The 24,757-nt window shown below is 36.8% G+C and overlaps 1 pseudogene, besides 1 other annotated feature; it reads right to left on the bottom strand.

Annotated features, from left to right (window-relative positions):
- Nucleotides 577-1,077: an enhancer, noted in NCBI's record as "H3K4me1 hESC enhancer chr20:53700573-53701073 (GRCh37/hg19 assembly coordinates)". NCBI's record gives its function as "activates a minimal SCP1, AML or CMV promoter by ChIP-STARR-seq in naive H9 embryonic stem cells {active_cell/tissue: H9 hESC(naive)}" and the evidence as "EXISTENCE:reporter gene assay evidence [ECO:0000049][PMID:30033119]".
- On the bottom strand, nucleotides 9,933-10,555 carry RPL12P4 (ribosomal protein L12 pseudogene 4; annotated as a pseudogene).

Genomic DNA, 24,757 nt, shown 5'->3' with positions numbered 1-24,757 from the left:
AAGCCACTGAGTTTTGAGATAATTTGCTATACAGTAATAGATAACTAATTCAACTTACATAACATTCATATGTGATGTGTTATTCTAAATACTCTGCATATTGTCACTTATTTAATCATCACTATGACTTCCCAAAGTAGTTATTATTATTGTTCCCATTGTTCAGATGAAGAAATGTGGGTACTAAAAGATTAGAAGTGATTTTGCTATTATCAGAAAGTTATTAAATATTTGAGCTAGAATTTGGAAACAGAACTTATGAAATCTGCCACATTCCCATCTTTTGTGATTATAATTTGGGTCTTTCCAAATATAATTATATAGACTTATCTTCATTAAAAGCACTGCTCACCATGTTTACTTTTTTACTATTCAAGAAGAACCTGTTTAATCTGTTTCCCTTGCCCTGAGTAGCCTGAAAGGAGTGGCAAGCAACTCCATCACTACACCAGATGGCTGAGAAATGTCCACCCCATTTTAGTATATTTTGCAAGTATGGCTTGGATACCTAATAACTGCTTATATCCACCATTATCCTACCACCCCACTTATCTCTGTCAATTAGTAACTATCCCTGAAACTGAAACGAGACATTAACAAGACAACCTACAGTTAAGTCATAGCCAAACAAGGAAAAAAACAAAAAACAAAAACAAAAACAAAAACGAGAAGAATAAAGAAACACGCCACCCTGGCTAACACGGCGAAACCCCGTGTCTACTAAAAATACAAAAAATTAGCCGGGCGTGGTGGCGGATGCCTGTAGTCCCAGCTACTCAGGAGGCTGAGGCAGGAGAATGGTGTGAACCTGGGAGGTGGAGCTTGCAGTGAACTGAGATCTTGCCACTGCACTCCAGCCTGGGCGACAGAGCGAGACTCCGTCTCAAAAAAAAAAAGAGAGGGCCGGGCGCGGTGGCTCACGCCTGTAATCCCAGCACTTTGGGAGGCCGAGGCGGGCAGATCACGAGGTCAGGAGATCGAGACCATCCCGGCCAAAACGGTGAAACCCCGTCTCTACTAAAAATACAAAAAATTAGCCGGGCGTAGTGGCGGGCGCCTGTAGTCCCAGCTACTTGGGAGGCTGAGGCAGGAGAATGGCGTGAACCCGGGAGGCGGAGCTTGCAGTGAGCCGAGATTGCGCCACTGCACTCCAGCCTGGGCGACAGAGCGAGACTCCGTCTCAAAAAAAAAAAAAAAAAAAAAAGAGAGAGAAAAGATACACGTCCTGTCTCATTTGATAGATTCAGTAATGACTTGCACTATGAACAGTACTTCCAAATAATTCCCAACTAACAACATCACCTAGTATAATGACATTCATAAGCTCTGGGAACTTTAAAAAAGACCTAAAGAGTCATTAAGAGACCATAATCAACCTTGAAACAAGGTCATCTATGCTGCAGATTCAGTCTCCCATAAAAAATCTGGAGCAAAGCTACTTGCCTAGACAGGCTATAATAACAAATCAATCGTTTAAATCTGTAGATGTTTAGGAAACTTTCTTGTCTTGGTGCTACCATTGCCAATATCTGAGTATGTTTCATTGAAAACTCTTTTCTTTCCTTGAAAAGTACAATAGAATTATTTTTTTCAACTAAAACTCTACTTTCAGTCTTTTCTGAAATACCACATTTGATTGTTTTTACAGACTCTACTTTTGGATTACAACTTATTGAATACATTTTTTAATATGTGAATAGAAATTTATTCACATATTTAGACACTACATTTAGACTTTATTTTATTTTTGCTTTATTATTTTTTTTTTTTTTTTTTTGAGACAGAGTCACACTCTGTCACCCAGGCTGGAGTGCAATGGTGCAATCTCGGCTCGCTGCAAGCTCCGCTTCCTGGGTTCAGGGGATTCTCCTGTCTCAGCCTCCCAAGTAGCTGGGATTACAGGCACATGCCACCACGCCCGGCTAATTTTTGTATTTTTAGTAGAGACGGGGTTTTGCCATGTTGCCCAGGTTGGTCTCAAACTCCTGACCTCAGGTGATCTGCCCGCCTCAGCCTCCCAAAGTGCTGGGATTACAGGAGTGAGCCACCACACCTGGCCTAGACTATATTTAGACACTAACTTTTTCCCTAAATTCTGCTTTGTTTAGGTTCTTCATTTAGCTCTTTGATTAAATGCTACCTTAACAGAAGGCCCTTTCCTATCCAGCCCCTATATGGTAGCCCTTCCACCCAATCTCTCTTTAATACTTATTTTACTTTATTTTTTGTTATAGGAATTATCCACATTTAAATTTATATTGATTTGTTTACTCATTTTTTGTTGTACGTATGCATTATGTATATGTAGGTACATATATATATCTATATATGTATATACACATATTTACACATACATATACATATATACATATATGTATATATGCCTATATATAGTATTACATATACATACATACCTATACATATACAGCACTAAATATTATATACATATATAGTATTACATATATACATATATGTAGTATTATATGTGTATATGTAGGTATATATACAATACTTACAATACTATATATGTATATGTAGAGATAATACATATATATGTATAACATATACAGTATCATATATATGTTTATGTAGGTATATATATCTAAATACCTATATATACATGGGTATACACATGGGTATATACACTCACATATATGGAATACTACATATATAGGTATATAAATTTCTATCTTTTCACACATTAAAAAATGTGAAATTTTATAGATATAGAAAATTCTATATATAAAAATTCTACATATGTAGAATTTTATATATATAAAATTCTACATATGTAGAATTTTATATATATAAAATTCTATATATAGTATTACATATATGTATATATAGGGGTGTGTGTGTGTGTGTGTTTGTATGTAGTATTACACAGGAAATGAACTGCAAATAGGCACTATCAGTTTTTAGTTTGTAAGAAAGAGAGACTCTTTGCACCAAAGGGTCTTCTTTGCCCCTCCATTTAACAGAGACAACAGAGAAAATGTGGCCAGCAGTGTAGCAGAATGCTGCTTTCCACAGTGATGCTGCAGACTTCAACAGAGAAGGGGAGTTGCAGCAATGTTTAGCTCTTCCTAAAAAATCCCACAGAAACATCGACATCACTGTTCATGATGACCAATGAAGGCTCTAAAAGGAAACCAACCTATCAGACACATAGGAAATGAACAACGTAATGCACCCAGAAGAGAAACCAGATTTGGTCAGTCCCAACAGGATTCCACTAGCCACACTGGTTAGACCCATGAATCTCAAATGCAAGTTACCCTGAGAGTAACCAGAGATGGGCTAAGGGATCTTCAAAGCTGTAGGAGCATCATGTTTCTCCCTGGAACTTTCATTTTCCTTAATTTTATTTAGTATTAAAACAGAAACCCATTTTTTTAATTTTTAAAGTAACTTTAGAAGTATTTCTATATTAAAACAAGGAAAGGTGCAAAACAACCTCTCATGGAGCTTTCAAAATTACATGTTTCAAAGAACCCCTTTGAGCTATGTGCTAGCATCCCCAGCTAATTTCTATTATTCATATAATCCTTCTTCTTTTCATACACGATTACCTAAGTCAACTGCTTTTCATTAAGCATATGCAAGGCCCAATGCTAAGACATTGTTAGTCTCTGCTATGGCAGTGGTTGTCAAACTTTCCCATGGAATCATCTGGAAGGTCTTGTTAAGCATAGATTCCTAGGCTGTACCTCCAGAGTTTCTGATTTATGAAGTCTGTAGTGGGACCACTTGCATTTCTAACTTCCCAGGTAAGGCTGCCGCTGGTCCAGAGATCACACTTTAAGAACGACTACTTTAAGGAAAAATTTAAGCAGCACTAGATTTCAAGGAAACTAATGAATGGGTATGTCATTTTGTAGATGTAAAAACTAAATCATAGAGAGGATAAATAATTTACCTGTGATATGCAACTAGTCAATAATTAAAGTTATTATTTTGATCTTTTGCATCTTGCCTTACTTTAAGATTCTCTGAACACGAAATTGAAATGAGATGTTTTTGAGTAACACATCTATGGACCACAATTTTATTCCCTCTTTGTGCTAGCAATCCAACTGCTAAACTTTCCTTCTATAAAACTTTTTAGGAAACCTTTGGTTCAATAAAACCAAAACAGTGTTACACTGAAAGGCAAGCATGTCATGACCCCTTATTTTGGCACCTGTATGTAATAACTGACAAGACCAGAAGCAGAACCCAAAGACACACTTATCAAAAATGAGCAAATCGCGACTCAAATGAACAATGAAAGTTTAACTACTGAGAGAAAAATGTAAAACCTAAAGCTATGGTTGTAGAATGAGCGGGATGTGAGATTGAATTTCAAAAGACATGAGAATTTTACAAACAAGCAACACCTCTGTCAGTTCTTATCACCAGAAATCATTCCAATGACATTTAATAGTGAACTTTGGCCCAAAAATAATTAATGCTATTGCAAAAATAGTTTCGAAAAGTGGAAAGCTGATGGAAAGTTAAGCTAGGCAACTATACCCAGTAATTAGTGTGGGAAATGGGACCTCACTTTTTCAAAAACACTTTGGTGCACATGTACCCTAAAACTTTAAGTATAATAATAAAAAAAAGGATCAGTTTACTAAACAGAATAAGCATGATTAAACTATGCAAAGATAACAAAATTTATCTAGGTGAAATGATGATTTAAAAAATATATCTGAATTAGTTTTCTATTGCTGTGTAAACATTACAATAAGTTTAGTGGTTTGAGACAATACCCATGTATTATCTCACATTTCTATAGATCAGAAGTCTAGCCAGCCTTGAGGATCTCTCTGTTTAGGGTATCCCAAGGCCAAAATCAAGGTATCAGCAGAGTTGAGTACTTTTCTGAAGGCTCTGGGGGAGAATCTGCTTCCAAGTTCAGTTGGGTTATTGGCAGAATTCAGTTCCGTTTGGTCACAGGACTGAGGTCTCCATTTTTTGCTGGTTGTTAGCCACAGTCCATTCTCAGTTCTTTTTCTTTCGAGACAGAGTCTTGCTCTCTCACCCAGGCTGGAGTGCAGTAGTGAGATCTCGACTCACTGTAACTTCCACCTCCCGAGTTCAAGCAATTCTCCTGCCTCAGCTTCCCAAGTAGTTGGGATTACAGGCACCCACCACCATGCCTGGCTAATTTTTGTAGTTTTAGTAGAGGGGGGTTTCACCATGTTGGCCAGGCTGGTCTGGAACTCCTGACTTTGTGATTTACCTGCTTCGGCCTCCCAAAGTACTGAGATTACAAGCATGAGCCATGGTGCCCAGCCCACTCTCAGTGCTTAGTGGCTACTTTCCAGTGCTTGTCCCCTGGCATCCTCTGTCTTGGCCCTGGAAAATCCCCCTTCTACTGAATCCTTCTAATGTTTTTAAACTCTTTGAATTTCTTTTTTGCTGTCAGCTACAGAAAATAATATCTAATATTTAGTGAGTAGCTAAAGGGTCCCAGCCTCTGTTATAAACTCTTTCCATACACTAACTCTTGAATCTTCATAGCAGTCCTATGAGGAAGGTGTTATTATCAATCCCATTTTACACACAGGTTAAATTAAACCTGCAAAGGCCATAAAGTTGGTAAGTGGCAGAACTGGGCCTTCAACCCAGGCAGCTGACTCAAGACCATGGCTGTTAGCCACTACACTGACCTGCTTTTGAGAGACGTCCACTAATTTAACCACATATAGGATTTATGTGATTAGACTGATCCTGCATCGAGAAATATCCATATGTTAAACTAAACTAATTAATCACACTTTTGAAATTTCTTTCATTATATAATATATAAGATAATCACCAGAGTAATACTAAGGAACAAAGGACCATGAAGAAATCTACCTACCACAGTTTTTAACATCTGCAAGCATAAATGTGAGCACACATGCATTTTTGCACACATGCATTGATGCTTGCAGATATCCATTAAAAGAACAATGCATTTAAATATAGGGGAAAACCCACGTCATCAGTTGATACCACTGAAAGATCAGTTCACACATAAGAAGACCTAATCTACTAGATCTGTAGCCATGCCTGAATTGAGCATATATATGTGTGTGTGTATACATATGTTTGTGTATATAGTATATATGTATACATATATATACATGCATATAGTATTACACAGGAAATGAACTGCAAATAGACACTATCAGTTTTAGTGTGAATAAGAAGAGAGTCTGTAAGACTAAAGGTGAAACAACCTGTACATAAGGACTGTACTCTTGTTGATAATGTTGTTTTACAGGTGAACAATTCTGAAACTGCTATATAGGTATCTTGGCAATGGACAATTATACAAATGGACAGCAGATGTTAAGGACCAGTTTTCTCACAGTTGGAGAGAGAGATTTCAGATAAGTAAGGGAAGAAGGCTAGAATGATCTGTGAAGTAATGGATTAGAATTGGAGAAATCAGGATAAACTTAGGTTTAGCTTAATATAGATATAGATAGTTACATATAGAACTGTTTATAGGTCTGTGTATATACACAAGTTAGCACATATACATGTACATATTTTTTGCTCTGTTAGCTGAGAGGGTCTAAAAACAATGGCACTTCAGTAATAACAGACTGTTAGCATCCATTCTTTGGTTTCTAATATGATTCTTTAACAATAATAAAAAAAATAGGGTTTCATGGGGAAGTAGATGATTCTAGAACTCAGACAGGAAATACACAAGATGAGCCTGGAGCATTCTGTAGTTCCAATGCGTAAATAAATGCCTAAAAAATTAACAGAAAGGAAAAGAAACCACATTTGTGGGGGTCTGTCAAGAAGACACAGAGATCGGCTAAAAATACTCTCAATGGACAAAGCTGAAAAAATTTGAGCAACAAAATAAAGTAGGACTGAATTATAACTCAAAGCATAAAATAATATCCATGAATTCATACAGAAATAAATGATTTAACATAAATAGGGGAGAAAATAAAATAAATAAAAACAGGTGAGAAAAGGTAAAATCTCCTATGCAGAAGAATTACAAATGATTTATAATTCTTCACTTTCAAGGTAGTGGAGCATAATTCCTCACTCCATAGTGTAGTCTGTTCATAGCAACTTTCTCCCAAAGAGTAAGGTATGAACAGGGGGAGAGAAAGAATGACTTGGCGGTGGTGAAAGCTGACAAACACCACCTCAGCAAGGTGATCAAGCTTAACCTCAACTGTAATGAATCATGTTGGTAGTATCTACCCATGAGATGATGTGATGAGAATGATGTTTTACCTTTGTGGTCTTCCTCTCTATAACCAGTAGCCCTAGTCCAGTCGTGAGAACAATTATCAAGCAAATTATAATTGAGGGACATTCTAACAAATAGCAGACCAGTATACCTCAAAACTGTCAAGGTCATTAAAAACAAAGAAAGACTGAGAAACTGTCTCAACCAAGAGGAGCTTAAGGAGATAAATGAATACCTGTAGTATTTACATGTAGTATTTTAGATAGAATCTTGGGATGGGGCATTAGGTAACAAGTCAGGATCTCAATAAGCTGTAATCTTTAGTTAATAATAATGTATCAATATTGATTCATCAATTATGACAAATGTATGATACTAATTTAAGATCTTAATACTAGTAGAAATTAGATAAGGGACACATAGAAACTTTATGTACTATCTAATTTTTCACAAATCTGCATCTATTTGAAAATTTAAAAGTTTCTTTTCAAAAAGCCAACTGGAGTCAAGAAAATAAGATTAAATACTAAACAAATTAATATCAAAATAAAATAACCGAGCTCAAAAAGATATCCCATAATGCAAAGAAGAAGAGATTGAAATGAGGAAATTGATGATATTCAATGTGAAAAGCAAGAATTTTAAGAAATATATAATATGAACTCAAGATGGAGAGAGTAGAGCACAAAGGAAGAAAAGCAATAATTAAAGTTTTACAGGAAAGCTATATAAATTTAAAGTCCATGTTTTATATAATACATTTTTTCAGTTATTTTCCTTAATTCTGAGGATTTGGCAAACCTAAGGAGGTCTGTAACTTCTGTTATATATTCATAAGGTAGAAAGAAGTTAGAGGAAAGGGAGAGAAGCAAGAGAAAAATAAAAGAGCTAAAGGCAAGGAGAAAACAAAGATAAAAAATTTATCAGGAGTAACTGCTTTTTGTTAGAGGAACAAAAAATGATCTAAAATGCTTACCATTAAGTTTTGTGATAAATGCAATAAAACATGTTCTTTTAATGATCGCCATTCTAACTGGTGTGAGATGGTATCTCATTGTGGTTTTGATTTGCATTTCTCTGATGGCCAGTGATGATAAGCATTTTTTCATGTGTTTTTTGGCTGCATAAATGTCTTCTTTTGAGAAGTGTCTGTTCATGTCCTTTGCCCACTTTTTGATGGGGCTGTTTGTTTTTTTCTTGTAAATTTGTTTGAGTTCATTGTAGATTCTGGATATTAGCCGTTTGTCAGATGAGTAGGTTGTGAAAATTTTCTCCCGTTTTGTAGGTTGCCTGTTCACTCTGATGGTAGTTTCTTTTGCTGTGCAGAAGCTCTTTAGTTTAATTAGATCCCATTTCACACCAGTTAGAATGGCGATCATTAAAAAGTCAGGAAACAACAGGTGCTGGAGAGGATGTGGAGAAATAGGAACACTTTTACACTGTTGGTGGGACTGTAAACTAGTTCAACCATTGTGGAAGTCAGTGTGGCGATTCCTCAGGGATCTAGAACTGGAAATACCATTTGACCCAGCCATCCCATTACTGGGTATATACCCAAAGGACTATAAATCATGCTGCTATAAAGACACATGCACACGTATGTTTATTGCGGCATTATTCACAATAGCAAAGACTTGGAACCAACCCAAACGTCCAACAATGATAGACTGGATTAAGAAAATGTGGCACATATACACCATGGAATACTATGCAGCCATAAAAAATGATGAGTTCATGTCCTTTGTAGGGACATGGATGAAATTGGAAAACATCATTCTCAGTAAACTATCACAAGAACAAAAAACCAAACACCGCATATTCTCACTCATAGATGGGAACTGAACAATGAGATCACATGGACACAGGAAGGGGAATATCACACTCTGGGGACTGTTGTGGGGTGGGGGGAGGGATAGCATTGGGAGATATACCTAATGCTAGATGACGAGTTAGTGGGTGCAGTGCACCAGCATGGCATATGTATACATATGTAACCTGCACAATGTGCACATGTACCCTAAAACTTAAAGTATAATAATAATAATAATAAAAAACATGTTCTTTTATATTCCAGAGAATGTTCAGTAAAGATTTGCATCACTGGTTCATGTATTTGAAGTGAAGCGTGTTTGTGTATTAGCATGTATGCAATTGTGTGGCAGATGCAATACAATACTAAATCAGGCTTAAAGATGAGTGCAGGATGGCTCATCTACATTCAGGTTACATTATAAATTGAGTAAAGCAGGTTTTAAAGTGGCAGTTACATCATAAGCCTAATTTAATAATCATAATAATTAGAGAAAAATGTCAATAGATGGATATATGTATATTATGATTGACTATATTATCAGGGATGGAATTACAGGTGATATTTACTTTTCACTATTTCAAACTGGATCTAGCAAATATGTATTACATTTATAATCAGGAGTACTAGGAGAAGTACTTGAGTTCAGAATATCTCCTCCATGCCAGGACTCCCACCAATATATAAACTCCATATTTCAAGTGGCATAATTGCCTAAAAAGAAAATCAGCCTCCAGCCAAGCTAGTGAGAGGCATAATGATAAAGCCTGTACTTTTAGAACAGCTGATAAACTCTTATGCCTATGAAAAACTGGGGTCCAAGAGGCCATTCCTCCATGATGAGAGACATCCAATGTTAACCTGTTTCTTGTGTGTGTGTGTGTGTGTGTGTGTGTGTGTGTGTGTGTGTGTGTGTGTGTGTGTCAAATGATCCTTTACTGAAATATTTTCCTTTGTGCTTAACTGGCTGGGCATTCCACAGCACCACTGTTGATGTCATCTATGATGTCATGAGGGTGGCGGCCATCAACATTACAGCCCACAGACTGGGCAGTCCCCAGGATCTCTTTAATGGTTCCAGAGAGTTCTCTGGCTAAGGATCGGTGCCGCATCTGTCGAGCAATGTTGACGATCTCATCAAAAGTGATATTCCCACTGTGTTTAATGTTTTTCTGTTTCTTTCTGTCTCTTGGTGGTTCCTTGAGGGCTTTGATGATCAGGGCAGAGGCAGAAGGCACCACCTCAATCTGGGCCTGTCTGTTCTGAATGGTCAGTTTCACTGTAATCCTCAGGCCCTTCCAGTCACCGTTGCCTTGGCAATGTCATCACCAACCTTTTTTGGAGACAGACACAGGGGGCCGATCTTGGGGGCCAGGGCAGAAGTGGCACCGACTTCACCTCCGGTGCACCTCAGGTATACGACTTTGATCTCGTTGGGGTCGAACTTCGGCGGCATGGTGGAGGCGGCTGGTGTCGGATGAACCCGGATTCGGGACGACCGAAGAAAGTCGCACCTTGGCCTCCTCCGAGCCCAAAGCCGAAAGCTAACCCCCTGTTTCACAGAAAGAGGTTTTGCTGCTTGGAAAGGAACTTCACTATCTCCACCTGTGCCTCTTGGTGTCATGTCACAGTTTCTCTACAACAAGCACGTGCATCCCACTGCACTGAGAGAGAGTATGATTCAGTCTTCACTGTGGTTTTGGAGTGTCTGGAGTCTCCCACCTCATGTTTAATGACTCTTCTGTCATTTGCCAAAGTCCTGCCACACCTGATTTTCACTCTGTTCTCTGTTTTTCAAACACACTGGTTCTTTCCTTTCTCAGAAAATGATTTTTCTCTACCTGAATTTCTCTTAGCTTTGCTGATTTCTTTTCCTCTCTCAACTCTCAACTTAAATCCTATTTTCTGAGAGATGTTTTCTCCAAGCATCATAAATTGTGTTCATTACCCAGTTATTTTTTATCATACACCCATTTTATATTCCTTCACAAATTAAGGTAGAGGCCATGTGTCTCTATTGTACTATGGTATTGTCAGACATAATAAAGTGCTAGGCCTTTTTAAAGAAAGAGGGTCCTTCACAGAAATAGAGAAAAACAATCCTAAAATTTTTAAGGAACCACAAAAGACCCCAAATAGCCAAAGCAATACAGAACAGAAAGAAAAAAACTAGAGGCATTACACTACCTGTCTCCAAAATATACTACAAAGCTATGGTAAACAAAACAGCATAATATTGGTATAAAAACAGATACATAGACCAATGTAACAGAACAGAGAACCCAGAAATGAATCCACGTATTTTCAGCCAACTGATTTCCGACAAAGGTGCTAAGAGCATGCTTGGGAAAAGGACACTGTCTTCAATAAATGGTGCTGGGAAAACTGAATATCCATACGCAGAAGAATGAAACTAGATCCCTCTCATCGGATACAGAAATAAACTGAAAATAAATGCTTAAAAGTAAGAACGAAAACTCTAAACCTATTACAACAGAGGAAATGCTTCAGGACACTGGTCTCAGCAAAGATTTTATGGCAAGACCTCAGAAGTAAAGGCCACAAAAACAAAAACAGACAAATGAAAAACTTCTGCACAGCAAAGAAAATAATTAACAGAGTGATGAGAACCTGTTGAATGGGGGAAAATATTTACAAACTATTTAACTGAACAAGAGACCAATATTCAGAATACATAAAGAACCCAACTCAAAGCAAAAAACCAAAATAATCCATTAAAAAGTTGGCAAATTATTTGAATAAATATGTTTCAAAGGAAGACATAAAAGTAGCCATAATATATGAAGAAATACTTAACATCACTAATCATCATGGAAATATAAATCAAAACCACAGTGAGATATTATCTTAATCAGTTAAAACAGCTATTATCAAAAAGACAAAAAATAACCAGTGCTGGTGAGGAGGCAGAGAATAGAGAACTCAACTGTTGGTGAAAATGTAAATTAGTATAGCCATTATGAAAAACAGTGTGAATGTTTCTCCAAAAGTTAAAAATATAATTACCATAGTCCAGTAATCCCACCAATGAGTAGGTATCCAAAAGAAAAAAAAATATATATATATATTTAAATGATACCTACACCCCCATGTTTATTGCAGCACTATTCACAATAGCCAAGATATGGAATCAAGCTGAATGTCTATCTACAGACAAATGGGTAAAGAAAATGTGAAATACATGCAAAATGGAACATTATTCAGCCAAAAAGGAAAGAAATACTGCCATTCCCAGAAACCTGGATAAGCCTAAAGGACAGTATGTTAAACAAAATAAGTCAGGTACAGAAAGATAAATATCCCATATTCTCACTCACGTGTGGAAGCTAAAAAAACGTTGAGCTCATGGAAGTAGAGAGTAGGACTGTAGGTATTAGAGACTGGGAAGGGTAGTGGGAAGAGAGGATGGAGACAGGTTGGTAAAGGGATACAAAATTACAGCCTGATGGCAGGAATGAGTCCCCGTATTCTGCAGCACTGTAGGGTGAATGTGGTTAACTATAATTTACTCTATTTTTCAAAAAGCTAGAGGAGAGGATTTTCTATGTTCACAACACAAAGAAATGATGAACATTGGAGGTGGTGAATGTGCTAATGATATTGATTGGAACATTACACATTGTATACACCTAACAAAATATCATTGTGTATTCTGCATATATGTAGAATTATTACACGGAAACTAAAAACAAAAGAAAAAAACTGGACCACAAAGAAATTGAACCTATAACAGTAACCTCTGTAACACAGTGATGCTTCAACAAATTAAGTTTAAAAATTACTTCCTAAAGAAGGCTGAATTTGTCAAGCATGTATTATTTTCTGATGGTGACCACAGAGATAACTAAGCTCCCAAAACTCTCTCTTTAAAAAATCAGTATAAAATCAACATTGCTCAGCTTTATCACTGTTTCCCAGCGCTTTTCATATATGTAGAGGAAAAATTTTAAAATATTGTAAATCAAAAAGATGTCCTGTAAAATCCTACCAACTAAGGGAAATCGCTATTAACATTAAGTGCATTTTATTCCAGGCTATCAGGCAAAGTAGCACTGTGGTTAGATGACTCTTTATCTTCCCTTTTGTCTTTCTATCTATTTAGGTATCTATCTATCTAGCCATCCATGTTCTCTGCATAACACACATATTCACACATGTATATGTATATATCACATTAGTGGTAGCATACTATTCAAACCATTTTATAACCCTTTTAAACTGAAGAATATGTTTATTCATACATTTATTCTATTGATTTACTAAAAAAAATTTGAGAACCTAGTATATGTCAGGCATTATTCCAGATACTGAAGAATAGTAGACAAGACAGCTTCTTGCCCTGGAGATGATTATACTCTGATAAAGGAGGACAGAGCATATGACATCAATAAATAAAGAAGATCAGTTTGCAATGAAATAAGACTACAAGATAGAGAGGTTATTGGAGGTGGAGGTCCTGGGTCAGGTGGCCAGGGATGGTCTCTCAGAGGAGATAAAGTTTGAGTTGAAAGCTGAATGATAAGAAGAAGTCAATAGTTGAAAGAGTCAATGAAAAGCATGCCAGCAAGCATGGGAGCAGAATTGCATAAGCCTTTCAGTGACATGGCAAGCGATATTCATCTCTGAAGAGTTTTATTATTTACTACATTCTGTTTCATTATATGGATGTCACAGTAGATACTGTGAAACATTTAGGTTGTTTCCATTTTGAAATCATGATCATGCCTTAAAAGATAAAAAAAAATTATGTTCACTTTCAAACATTAAAATGGCATTGAAAGTTTTATGTTCTTTTATGAAAGATGCTGATAATGAAGTGTTAAATGAAAAAGCTAACAAATAGCGTGTACAACCAGACTGCATACTTGTGAAAACAGACATGTAAAAATGTGCATTTATAATGAAAAGATAACTCATGAATAGGATAAAATATTAAACTAAAATGGTAACATTACTTATCTCTGACTGTTGGCCATACAAATGTAGCTTCTTATTTTGTATACTTTGAGTTTTCTAAACAAATATTTTAAAAATAACTTTAAAGGAGAGAAACAGATTACAAAATAGTATGTAAGTTATTCTACTTTTTATTTAAAGAAATTATACATGTCTTTATTCCTTTCGAGGCACTAGGTGTGTTTATTTGTGTGTATGTAGAAAGTGTTACTTCTTAGTTGTAAGACTGTGAATAACTTTATTTTTCTTGTTTGACCATAACTTTCTATAATGTAAAAATGTATCAATTTGCTGATAGAAAACATTTAAGTAAACATTTTATCTCATGGTAAAAAGAAAATTTATATTTATTAAAGTGTTCTAACATGCTGAAAATATAAAGAAGCAATTAAATGTATCTCTGTTATCAAAATTAGTTTTAAAACGTATAGCTATTCACATACAAAATAGCAGCTAATTGTAAAAAAATTTACAATTGTTATATGAAATTGTTTATATGATGGAAACAGCATGAATACATATTTTTGTGATACATATCAGTGGTTCCAAAACTTTTTCCCTAAAGGGTCAGATAGTAACTATTTTATGATTTGTGGGTCATGTGGCCTCTCTTGCCCCTATGCAATTCTGCTATTATAACACAAAAGCAGCCATAGACTGCCGTGCTACAATAAACCTTTATTTGTAGACTCTGAAATTTGAATATCATAATTTTGAATATAATTTTTATTCCAGTAATATTATTTAAAACTTTTTTCATGTATTAAAAATATTAAAAAAACTACTCTTCACTCACCAGCAAAAACAGGTGGTAAGCTGGATTTGGCCCAGAGGTCAGAGCTTAATGGTTCATTTATTTACATTTTCCAACTTATTTTAAATATGGCATGACTCACACATCAACATTCAGTCTCTGCCAACCTTGAGTGGCAACACCATGCCATTTCTCTATCTGATCTGAAAATAAATGGCAGATTCTGTTAGATATGCATCCATTGAATTTCCACAGGCATTAAACTGAAATGTCCTTCTCAGTATCAAACCAGATTTCGATTTTATCCTGAAGAAATATTGCTCTGGCAGAGAACAGAGTCCTTAAATTTTCCAGGCTATACCTAAGGGGCAGCTTTTAAAGTAACATTAAAGTCAATGGGAATTTCCCAGAACAATCAGTGTGTTCTCAAATAAAAAACCGTTGGCAGTGGGTTAACTGAAATGGCTCAATGGTATAGGAAAGACATTAACTGTGCAAAGGATTTCCTCCAAATCTCAAGTAAATGGTGTGTGATGGTAACATCTAACAATGCACAGATTATCTGGCATTTTTTTAGACTGCCTTAAAACACTCAGTTTCACATATATCTGTACTGCCCACAGCATAGGCAATGTCCAGCAATTGAAGTGTGGCAAATGCCATATAAATACTGTTACTCTGATTTACAAAAAATGTGCATTCAAATTTACAAGATAAAATATGGCAGAGAAATAGCCACTGATCTCAGAGAAAAGTATGTTTATGGCTAGTGAAGACAGTTATAATTCAGGACATTTAATTAAGTTCCAAGGCTTCTAACAGGTAGTTATTAATTGCAATGAAAATGCTTCATAAACCATAAATATTTTTAAATTCAGTACCATTTTTGTGCAAAAGAAATTGGTTATCTCTAAGATTGTAGTAGTTTGCCCTTTTCCTATTCAATAAAATACCATGAGCATCTCTTGGTATACAAAAGCCCTGGGAAACAAAGAATTTAAATACAAATTTCCACTTTTGCTTTCAGATTTTTTTCCGGAGTAATTTAGTAGACAAAACACTAAGTTATAGAGTGATTAAAGAATGAAGTGCTTTTTCTAATTATATTTAGTATACATTAGATAGCTGAGTTTACCATGTTTTCTATTTCAATCATTCATAAATAAGCTGATATGATAAATAGGCATGCCCCAGTACTTCGTAATTTTACCCAAATATAAATTCATGTCTAGGTAAAGATGAGGCCAGAGGACGGGATCCTACTTCTCAAATAAAGACATCCTCCAACCCGGCTCAGTATCACATTGGGGTTTTGTCATTTTTTTTTCTAGGTTATATTTACATCAAGTGTTTTAGATCAATATTCACAATTATTAAAAAAATTGTAAAAATGATCAAGTAAGACTTAAAATTGTACTAAAAGATTAAATGGTGATTAATTTGTGAAATGGTGGCATGTCATGGAAAAACATGATACTTAGTGCACAGAAAATTCTGGAATATAAGAAATTCAACAATCACTTCAGTATTTATGGATTTGAAAAATGAGAAATGGCTTTGGGGACTATTACTGGTGAATGTCAAAGATCTGCTACTCAACAGAGAATGTTATGATGGATAGATATTGGGATTCACAATCATACACATATATAGTAGATGAATACATCAACAGTGCTATACGTTGGCAGGCTAGTCAAAGTCACACTGGCCAGAAGATATTCCTAGCAAAGGGTAGGAAGCAAGGTTTTGAAGTTCTTCAACTTCTGCTTTCAATTCCCTCTGCCCAAGTTATATTTTTACATTTTGTAAATAAAACAGTTAGATGTCTATGTCCTTTTAAGGATACGCATACACACACACACACACACACACACACACACACACACACGTGTAATATACACTATTTATAATATATACCATACCGTGACAAAGTGGGGTTTATTTCAAGGATGCAAGTCTAGTTTAATATTCAAAAACCAATAAATACAATTTACCACATTAACAGGCTAAAGAAGAAAAACCATGTAATTATATTAATCAATGCAAGAAAGAATTTCACAAAATTTAATACTTCTTTATGATAAAAGCTCTCAGAAAAATAAAAATAAATGGAAACTTACTCAATCTGATAACTCATGATTCCTAACATTCTACAGCATACACTTTCCATTTTCCTTCCCCAAATATACCAAAAGGTGTAGTTTCTTCCACAAATGAAGCCCTTAACCAGCTTTCAAAATATGCCAACAACTTAGCTTTAGTGATGAGTAACTCTTTCTTCCCAAGTGTTGAGGAAAAGCAGGAATATTTAAACAAAATTTTATAAGAGGAACTGTACCTAAATTGAGGAATTACTATAACCAAGAAAAAACGGTAACTTTGTATTTATTTACTGAACTTTCTTTTGTTCTCTTTTTTTCTCATTTATAAACAGCCTTTAAAATCAACTAAGTATTTTCCTTTAAAAAAATTCTTAAGCTTACATTTATTTTTTTTCTTAAAGATTTAAGGAGAGATACCATTTTGGGTTTAATTAACATAATATCAATAGAAAACAATACCATGTACTATGTTTATTGAAGTGCTTTAAAATAGCAAAACACTGAACAGAATAAAAAATTCTAATAATGAGGAGGGGCCAAGATGACCGACCAGAAGCAGCTCTGGTCCGTGGCTCCCACCAAGAAGAACAAAAACAGTGAGTCAATCCTGCCCCATCAACTGAGGTGACTAGGCAGTTGGCACAACCCACACAGAACAAGGAAAAGCAGGGTTGTTCGATGGCCCACCGGGGAGTGGCATGAAACCAGGGGAGCCCCCACTCCCAGCCAAAGGAGGCAGTGAGTGATTGTGCTATCCTGCCCTGGAAACCATGCTTTTTCCACAGATGTCTGCATCCCCAGTATCAGGAGATCCCCTTATGAGACCATGAGGGCCTTGGGTCCTAAGCACAGAGCTGTGCAACCCACTTGGGTTGCAGCCAGCAGCAACAGGCCGGACACTGCCTAAGATGACTAAGTTCCTGAAGGGAAGGGCGGCCACCATCACTATGGCTCCAGTGGGTAGGTTGTTTTCCCTGGCTGATGCTGGGAAGACTGGGTGGTTTGGACCCAGAGGAATTCTCCCCAGTGCAGTACAGTGGCTGTGACAGATTACGGACAGACTGCTTAAGTTGGACATAAATTCATCCCTCCTCACTGGGTTGGGGCCTCCCTGCAAGAATTTCAGCAACTCCAGCCAGGGGTTTAGGGACAGAACTCTGACATCCCTGGGAAGGGGCCTCTAGAGGGGAAGGGCAGCCAAGGTGTCCCAGTTCAGTGGACCTAGTCTTTCCTGTCTGCTGGCCGTCCAGAGGAGGAGGATGATTCTCCCCAGTGCAATATGGGCTCCACCAAGGTGCAGTCAGACTTCTTCTTTAAGCAGGTCCCTGAACCTGTGCCTCCTGACTGGGTGAGATCTTTCAACAGGAGTTGCCAGACACTTAATACAGGAGCATTCTGGCTGGCATCAGATTGGTACCCCTCTGGGACAGAGCTCCCAGAGGAAGGAACAGGCGGCCATCTTTGCTGTTCTGCAGACTCCACCAGTGATACCTCCACGTGCGGGAGGGACCCTGGGGAATTTTTTCTGTAGCGGTCCCCCAGCAAACTGCAGCAGCCCTATGGAAGAAGGGCCTGCCTGATAAAAAGAAAAACTAATAAACAGAAGCAAAACCAACACCAACAGCAACAACAACAACAAAAAACTCACAAAAACCCTATGCAAAAGTCAGCAGCCTCAAAGATAAAAGGTAGACCAACAAAAATGAGAAAGAATCAATGCCAAAATGCTGAAAACTCAAAAAGCCTGAGCACCTCTTCTCCTCCAAATGATTGCAACACCTTTCCAACAAGGGCATAGAACTGGGATGAGGCTGAGATGGATGAATTGACAGAAGTAGCCTTCAGAAGGTGGGTAATAATAAACTTTGCTGAGCTAAAGGAGCATGTTCTAACCCAATGCAAAGAAGCTAAGAACCATGATAAAACATAACAGGATCTGTTAACCAGAAAAACAGTTTAGAGAGAAACAGAAATGACCTGATGGAGTTGAAAAACACAACACAAAAACTTCACAATGCAACCACAAGTATCAATAACTGAGTAGACCAAGTGAAGGAAAGATTCTCAGAGCTTGAAGACTATCTTGCTGAAATAAGAGAGGCAGACAACGTTAGAGAAAAAAAGAATGAAAAGGAATGAACAAAGCCCCTGAGAACCACAGATTGTGTAAAAAGACAGAACCTATGACTAGAGTACCTGAAAGACACAGGGAGAATGAAACCGAGTTGGAAAACATACTTCAGGATATCATGCAGGAGAACTTCCCCAACCTAGCAAAACACGCCTACATTCAAATTCAGAAAATCCAGAGAACCTCAGGAAGATATTCCATGAGAAGATCAACCCCAGGACACACAATCATCAGATTCCACCAGGTTGGAATGAAGGAAAAAATGTTAAGGGCAGCCAGAGAGAAAGGCCATGTCACCTAAAAAGGGAAGCCCATCAGACTGACAGCAGACCTCTCAGCAGAAACCCTAAGAGCCAGAAGAGATTGGGGGCCAATATTCGACATTCTTAAAAAAAAGAATTTCCAACCCAGAATTTCATATCTGACCAAACTAAGCTTCATAAGGGAAGTAGAAATAAAATCCTGTTCAGACAAGCAAATATTGAGGGAATTTGTCACCACCAGGCCTGCCTTGCAAGAGCTCCTGAAGGAAGCACAAAATATGGAAACAAAAAACTGTTGCCAGCCACTAGAAAAATACACTGAAGTACATAGACCAATAACACTGTGAAGCAACTACATTAACAAGTCTGCAAAGTAACCAGCCAGCATCATAATAACAGGATCAAATTCACACATAACAATATTAACCTTAAATGTAAATGGGCTAAATGTCCCAATTAAGACACAGAATGGCAAGCTGGACAAAATGTCAAGACTGATTGGGGTGCTGTATTTAAGAGACCCATCTTATGTGCAAAGACACACACAGGCTCAAAATAAAGGGATGGAGGAAAATTTACCAAGCAAATGGAAAGCAGAAAAAAGCAGGGGTTGCAATCCTAGTTTCTAACGACATAGACTTTAAACCAACAAAGATCAAAAAAGACAAAGAAGGGCATTATATAATGGTAAAGGGTTCAATTCAACAAGAAGAGCTAACTATCCTAAATATATATGTACCCAATACAGGAGTGCCCAGATTCATAAAACAAGTTCTTAGAGTCCCACAAAGAGAATTAGACTCCCAAACAATAATAGTGGGACACTTTAACACCCCACTGTGAATACAGACAGGTCACTGAGACACACACACAAAAAATAACAAAGATATACAGGACTTGAACTCAGCTCTGGATCAAGTGGAACTAATAGATATCTACAGAACTCTCCACCCAAAAACAAGAGAATATACATTTTTTTCAGTATCACATAGCGCTTACTCTAAAATCGATCACATAATTGGAAGTAAAACACTCCTCAGCAAAGGCAAAAGAACGGAAATCATACAAACAGAAACACAGACCACAGTGCAATCAAATTAGAACTCAGGATAAATAAACTCATTCAAAACCACACAACTACATAGAAATTGAACAACCTGCTCCTGAATGACCTATGGATAAACAATGAAATTAAGGCAGAACTCAAGAAGTTCTTTGAAACCAGTGAGAACAAAGACAATGTACCAGCATCTCTGGGATGCAGGTAAAGCAGTGTTAAGAGGGAAATTTATAGCACTAAAATGTGCATATCAAAGAGCTAGAAAGATCTCAAATTGACATCCTAATATCACAACTAAAAGAACTGGAAAACCAAGAGCAAACAAACCCCAAATCTAGCAGAAGACAAGAAATAACCAAGATCAGAGCAGAACGGAAGGAGATAGAGACACGAGAAACCCTTCAAAAAAAATGAACCAATCCAGGAGCTGTTTTTTTTTTTTTTTTTTTTTTTTTTTGGAAAATGTAATAAAATAGACTGCTAGCTAGACTAATGAAGAAGAAAAGAGAGAAGAACCAAACGGACAAAATAAAAAAATGATAAAGGGGATATCACCACTGACCCCACAGAAATACAAGCAACCATCAAGACTGAATCAGGAAGAAGCTGAATTCCTGAATAGATCAATAATGAGTTCTGAAATTGTGGTAGTAATAAATAGACTACCAACCAAAAAAAGCCCAGGACCAGACAGATTTACAGCTGAATTCTAACAGAGGTACAAAGAGGAGCTGGTACCATTTCTTCTGAAACTATTCCAAACAATTGAAAAGGAGCGGCTCCTCTCTAACTCATTTTATGAGGCTAGTATCATCCTGATACCAAAACCTGGCAGAGATCTAACAAAAAAAAAAAAAAACGAAAATCTTCAGCCCAATATTCCTGATGAATATTGGTGCAAAAATCCTCAACAAAATACTGGCAAACCGAATCCAGCAGCACATCAAAAAGCTTATCCACCACGATCAAGTCAGCTTCATCCCCGGGACGCGAGGCTGGTTCAATACACAGAAATGGAACTAAAGACAAAAACCACAGGATTATCTCAATAGATGTGGAAAAGGCCTTTGATAAAATTCAACATCCCTTCATGTTAAAAACTCTCAATAAACTAGGTATTGAAAGAACATACCTCAAGATAATAAGAAACATTTATGACAAACTCACAGCCAATATCATACTTAATGGGCAAAAACTGGAAGCATTCCCCTTGAAAACTGGCACAAGACAAGGATACCCTTTCTTACCACTCCTATTCAACATAGTATTGGAAGTTCTGGCCAGGGCAATTAGGCAGGAGAAAGAAACAAAGCATATTCAAATAGGAAGCGAGGAAGTCAAACTGTCTTTGTTTGCAAATGGCATGATCCTATATCTAGAAAACCCCATCATTTCAACCCAAAAGCTTAAGCTGATATGCAACTTCAACAAAGTCTCAGAATTCAAAAATCAATGTGCAAAAGCCACATATATTCCTATACACCAACAACAGACAAGCAGAGAGCCAAATCATGAATGAATTCCCATTCACAGTTGCTGCGAAGAGAATATAATACCTGGTAATATAGCTAACAAGGGAAATGAAGTACCTCTTCAAGGAGAACTACAAACCACGGCTCAAGAAAATCAGAGAGGACACAAACAAATGGAAAAACATTCCATGCTCATAAATAGGAATAATCAATATTGTGAAAATGGCGATACTGGCCAAAGCAATTTATAGATTCAATACTATTCCCATTAAACTACCATTGACATTCTTCACAGAATTAGAGAAAACTATTTTAAAATATATATGGAACCAAAAATGAGCTTGTATGGCCAAGCTGATTCTAAGCAAAAAGAATAAAACTAGAGGTATCACACTACCCAACTTTAAGCTATATTTCAAGGCTACACTAACCAAAACAGCATGGTACTGGAAAAAAAAACAGACACAGAGACTAATGGAACAGAATGGAAAACTCAGAAATAAGACTAGACATCTACAACCATCTGAACTTTAACAAACCTGACCAAAACAAGCAATGGAGAAAGGATTTCCTATTTAATAAATGGTGCTGGGAGAACTGACTAGCCATATGCAGAAAATTGAAACTGGGCCCCTTCCTTACAGTTTATACAAAAATTAACTCAAGATGGATGAAAGGTTTAAATGTGGGCCGGGTGCAGTGGCTCACACCTGTAATCCCAGCACTTTGGGAGGCCAAGGCGGGTGGATCACCTGAGGTCTGGAGTTCAAGACTAGCCTGGCCAACATGGTGAAACCCCGTCTCCACTAAAAATACAAAAAATTAGCCTGGTGTGGTGGTGGGTGCTTGTATTCCCAGCTACTCGGGAGGTTGAGGCAGGAGAATTGCTTGAACCCAGAGAGAGGAGGTTGCAGTGAGCCAAGATCATGCCATTGCACTCCAGCCTGGGCAACAAGAGCAAAACTCCATCTAAAAAAAATTAAATAAATAAATGTAAAACTCAAAACTATAAAAACCCTTGAAAATCTAGGCAATACCATTCAGGACATAAACATGGGCAAAGATTTCATGATGACAATGCCAAAAGCAAATTCAACAAAAGCAAAAATTGACAAATGATATCTAAATAAACTAAAGAGCTTCTGCACAGCAAAAGAAACTATCATCAGAAAGAAGAGACAACCTACAGAATGGGAGAAAATTTTTGCAATCTATCCATCTGATAAAGGTCTAATATCCAGAGTCTACAAATAACTTAAACAAATTTACAAGAAAAAAAAACCCATTAAAAATTGGGCAAAGGACATGAGCAGACATTTCTCAAAAGAAGACACTTATGCAGCCACAAACATATGAACAAAAGCTCAACATCTTTGTTCATCAGAGAAATGCAAATCAAAACCACAATAAAATACCATCTCACACCAGGCAGAATGGCAATTATTAAAAAGTCAATAAACATCAGAGCTGTGTGTCTGAAAGAAAAAAAAGTAAAGAAACAACAGATGCTGGTGAGGCTTAGAGAGAGAGGAATGCTTTTACACTGTTGGTGGGAGTGTAAATTAGTTTAACCATTGTGAAAGATGGTGTGGCAATCAATTCCTCAAAGACCTAGAACCAGAAATACCATTTGACCCATCAATCCCATTACTGGATATACGCCCAAAGGAATATAAATCATTCTGTTGTAAAGATACATGCACACATATGTTCACTGCAGCATTATTCACAACAGCAAATATATGGAATCAACCCAAATGTCCATCAATCATCGACTGGATTAAAAAAAGTGTGGTACATATACACCATGGAATACTATGCAGCCATAAAAAGAAATGAGATCATGTCCTTTGCAGGGACATGGATGGAGCTGGAAGCCATTATCCTCAGCAAACTAACAGAGGAACAGAAAACCAAACGCTGCATTTCTCACTTGTAAATGGGAAGTGAACAATGAGAACACATGGATAACAGGGCAACAACACACACTGGGGCCTGTCTGTGGGGGATAATCGGCGGAAGGAGAGCATCATGAAAAATAGGAAATTCATGCTGGGCCAACCCATCACGTGTTTTTCTATGTAACAAACCTGCATATCCTGCACATGCACCCAAGAACTTAAATGAAAGAAAAAAACAATTCTAATGAAAGAGATGTTGTTTTATCTCTCAACCAGATACTACCACTATTGAGAAAGAAAAATGTTATGAAATGTTAATGAAAGATAGTTTCTAATACAATTCATAAAAGTGTGTGTATAACATAGTCTACATTTATGCAAATGAGAAAAATTTGTACACATACATATTTATAAAAGCACATACACATAAAAGGAAAGAAAAGCTAGAAGAATCTACATCAAATGATACAATATTTGACTAAGGAAAAGGCTATGCACTGCTTTATACTTATTTTATCATTCCATTTTATTCTCCAAATCAATAAACATGTATTACTCTTATATGATGGGGGGAAAGTTACTTTAAAATATTAGTAAATAAAATATTACTAAGGTGCAGAATACTTGAAAACCCATACAACCAAAAACAATATGAGTTCAATTTCCTGTTAATCAAATATCCATTGGTATTTCATGATGAATTATAATCATACATTTTAGGCTTGAGAGAAAACCGAAATTAAATTCCTCTTGAACTTTACAGAACATGGTTGAACAGACAGAACTGAAAGTCCTTTAAAATGACAGCGATAGGGATGGACCAAACAGTCGAAACTCCACCACGTCTCCCTGCTTAAACTTTCTCAACAAAGCCCTCAACTTCCCTGCGTCAGAGGAGGATACTCCTTTTTGACACGCATATCAGTGTCAACAATATCATTAGAACAACCAATGCTTTTGATGAGCAAATTTCGACTGATGAATGTGCTAGGTTTTTACCTTGATACTGCTTTCATTTTCTCCTAAAACTGCTAAACAGGAGAGTAGCAAAGTGTAGCAAAGTGTACCAATCAACCTCAGCTACTG

The sequence above is a fragment of the Homo sapiens genome, chromosome 20, assembly GCF_000001405.40.
Source record: "Homo sapiens chromosome 20, GRCh38.p14 Primary Assembly".
Taxonomy (NCBI): domain Eukaryota; kingdom Metazoa; phylum Chordata; class Mammalia; order Primates; family Hominidae; genus Homo; species Homo sapiens.
Note: the sequence above shows the minus strand (reverse complement) of the source record. Positions and strands in the feature narration are given on the sequence as shown.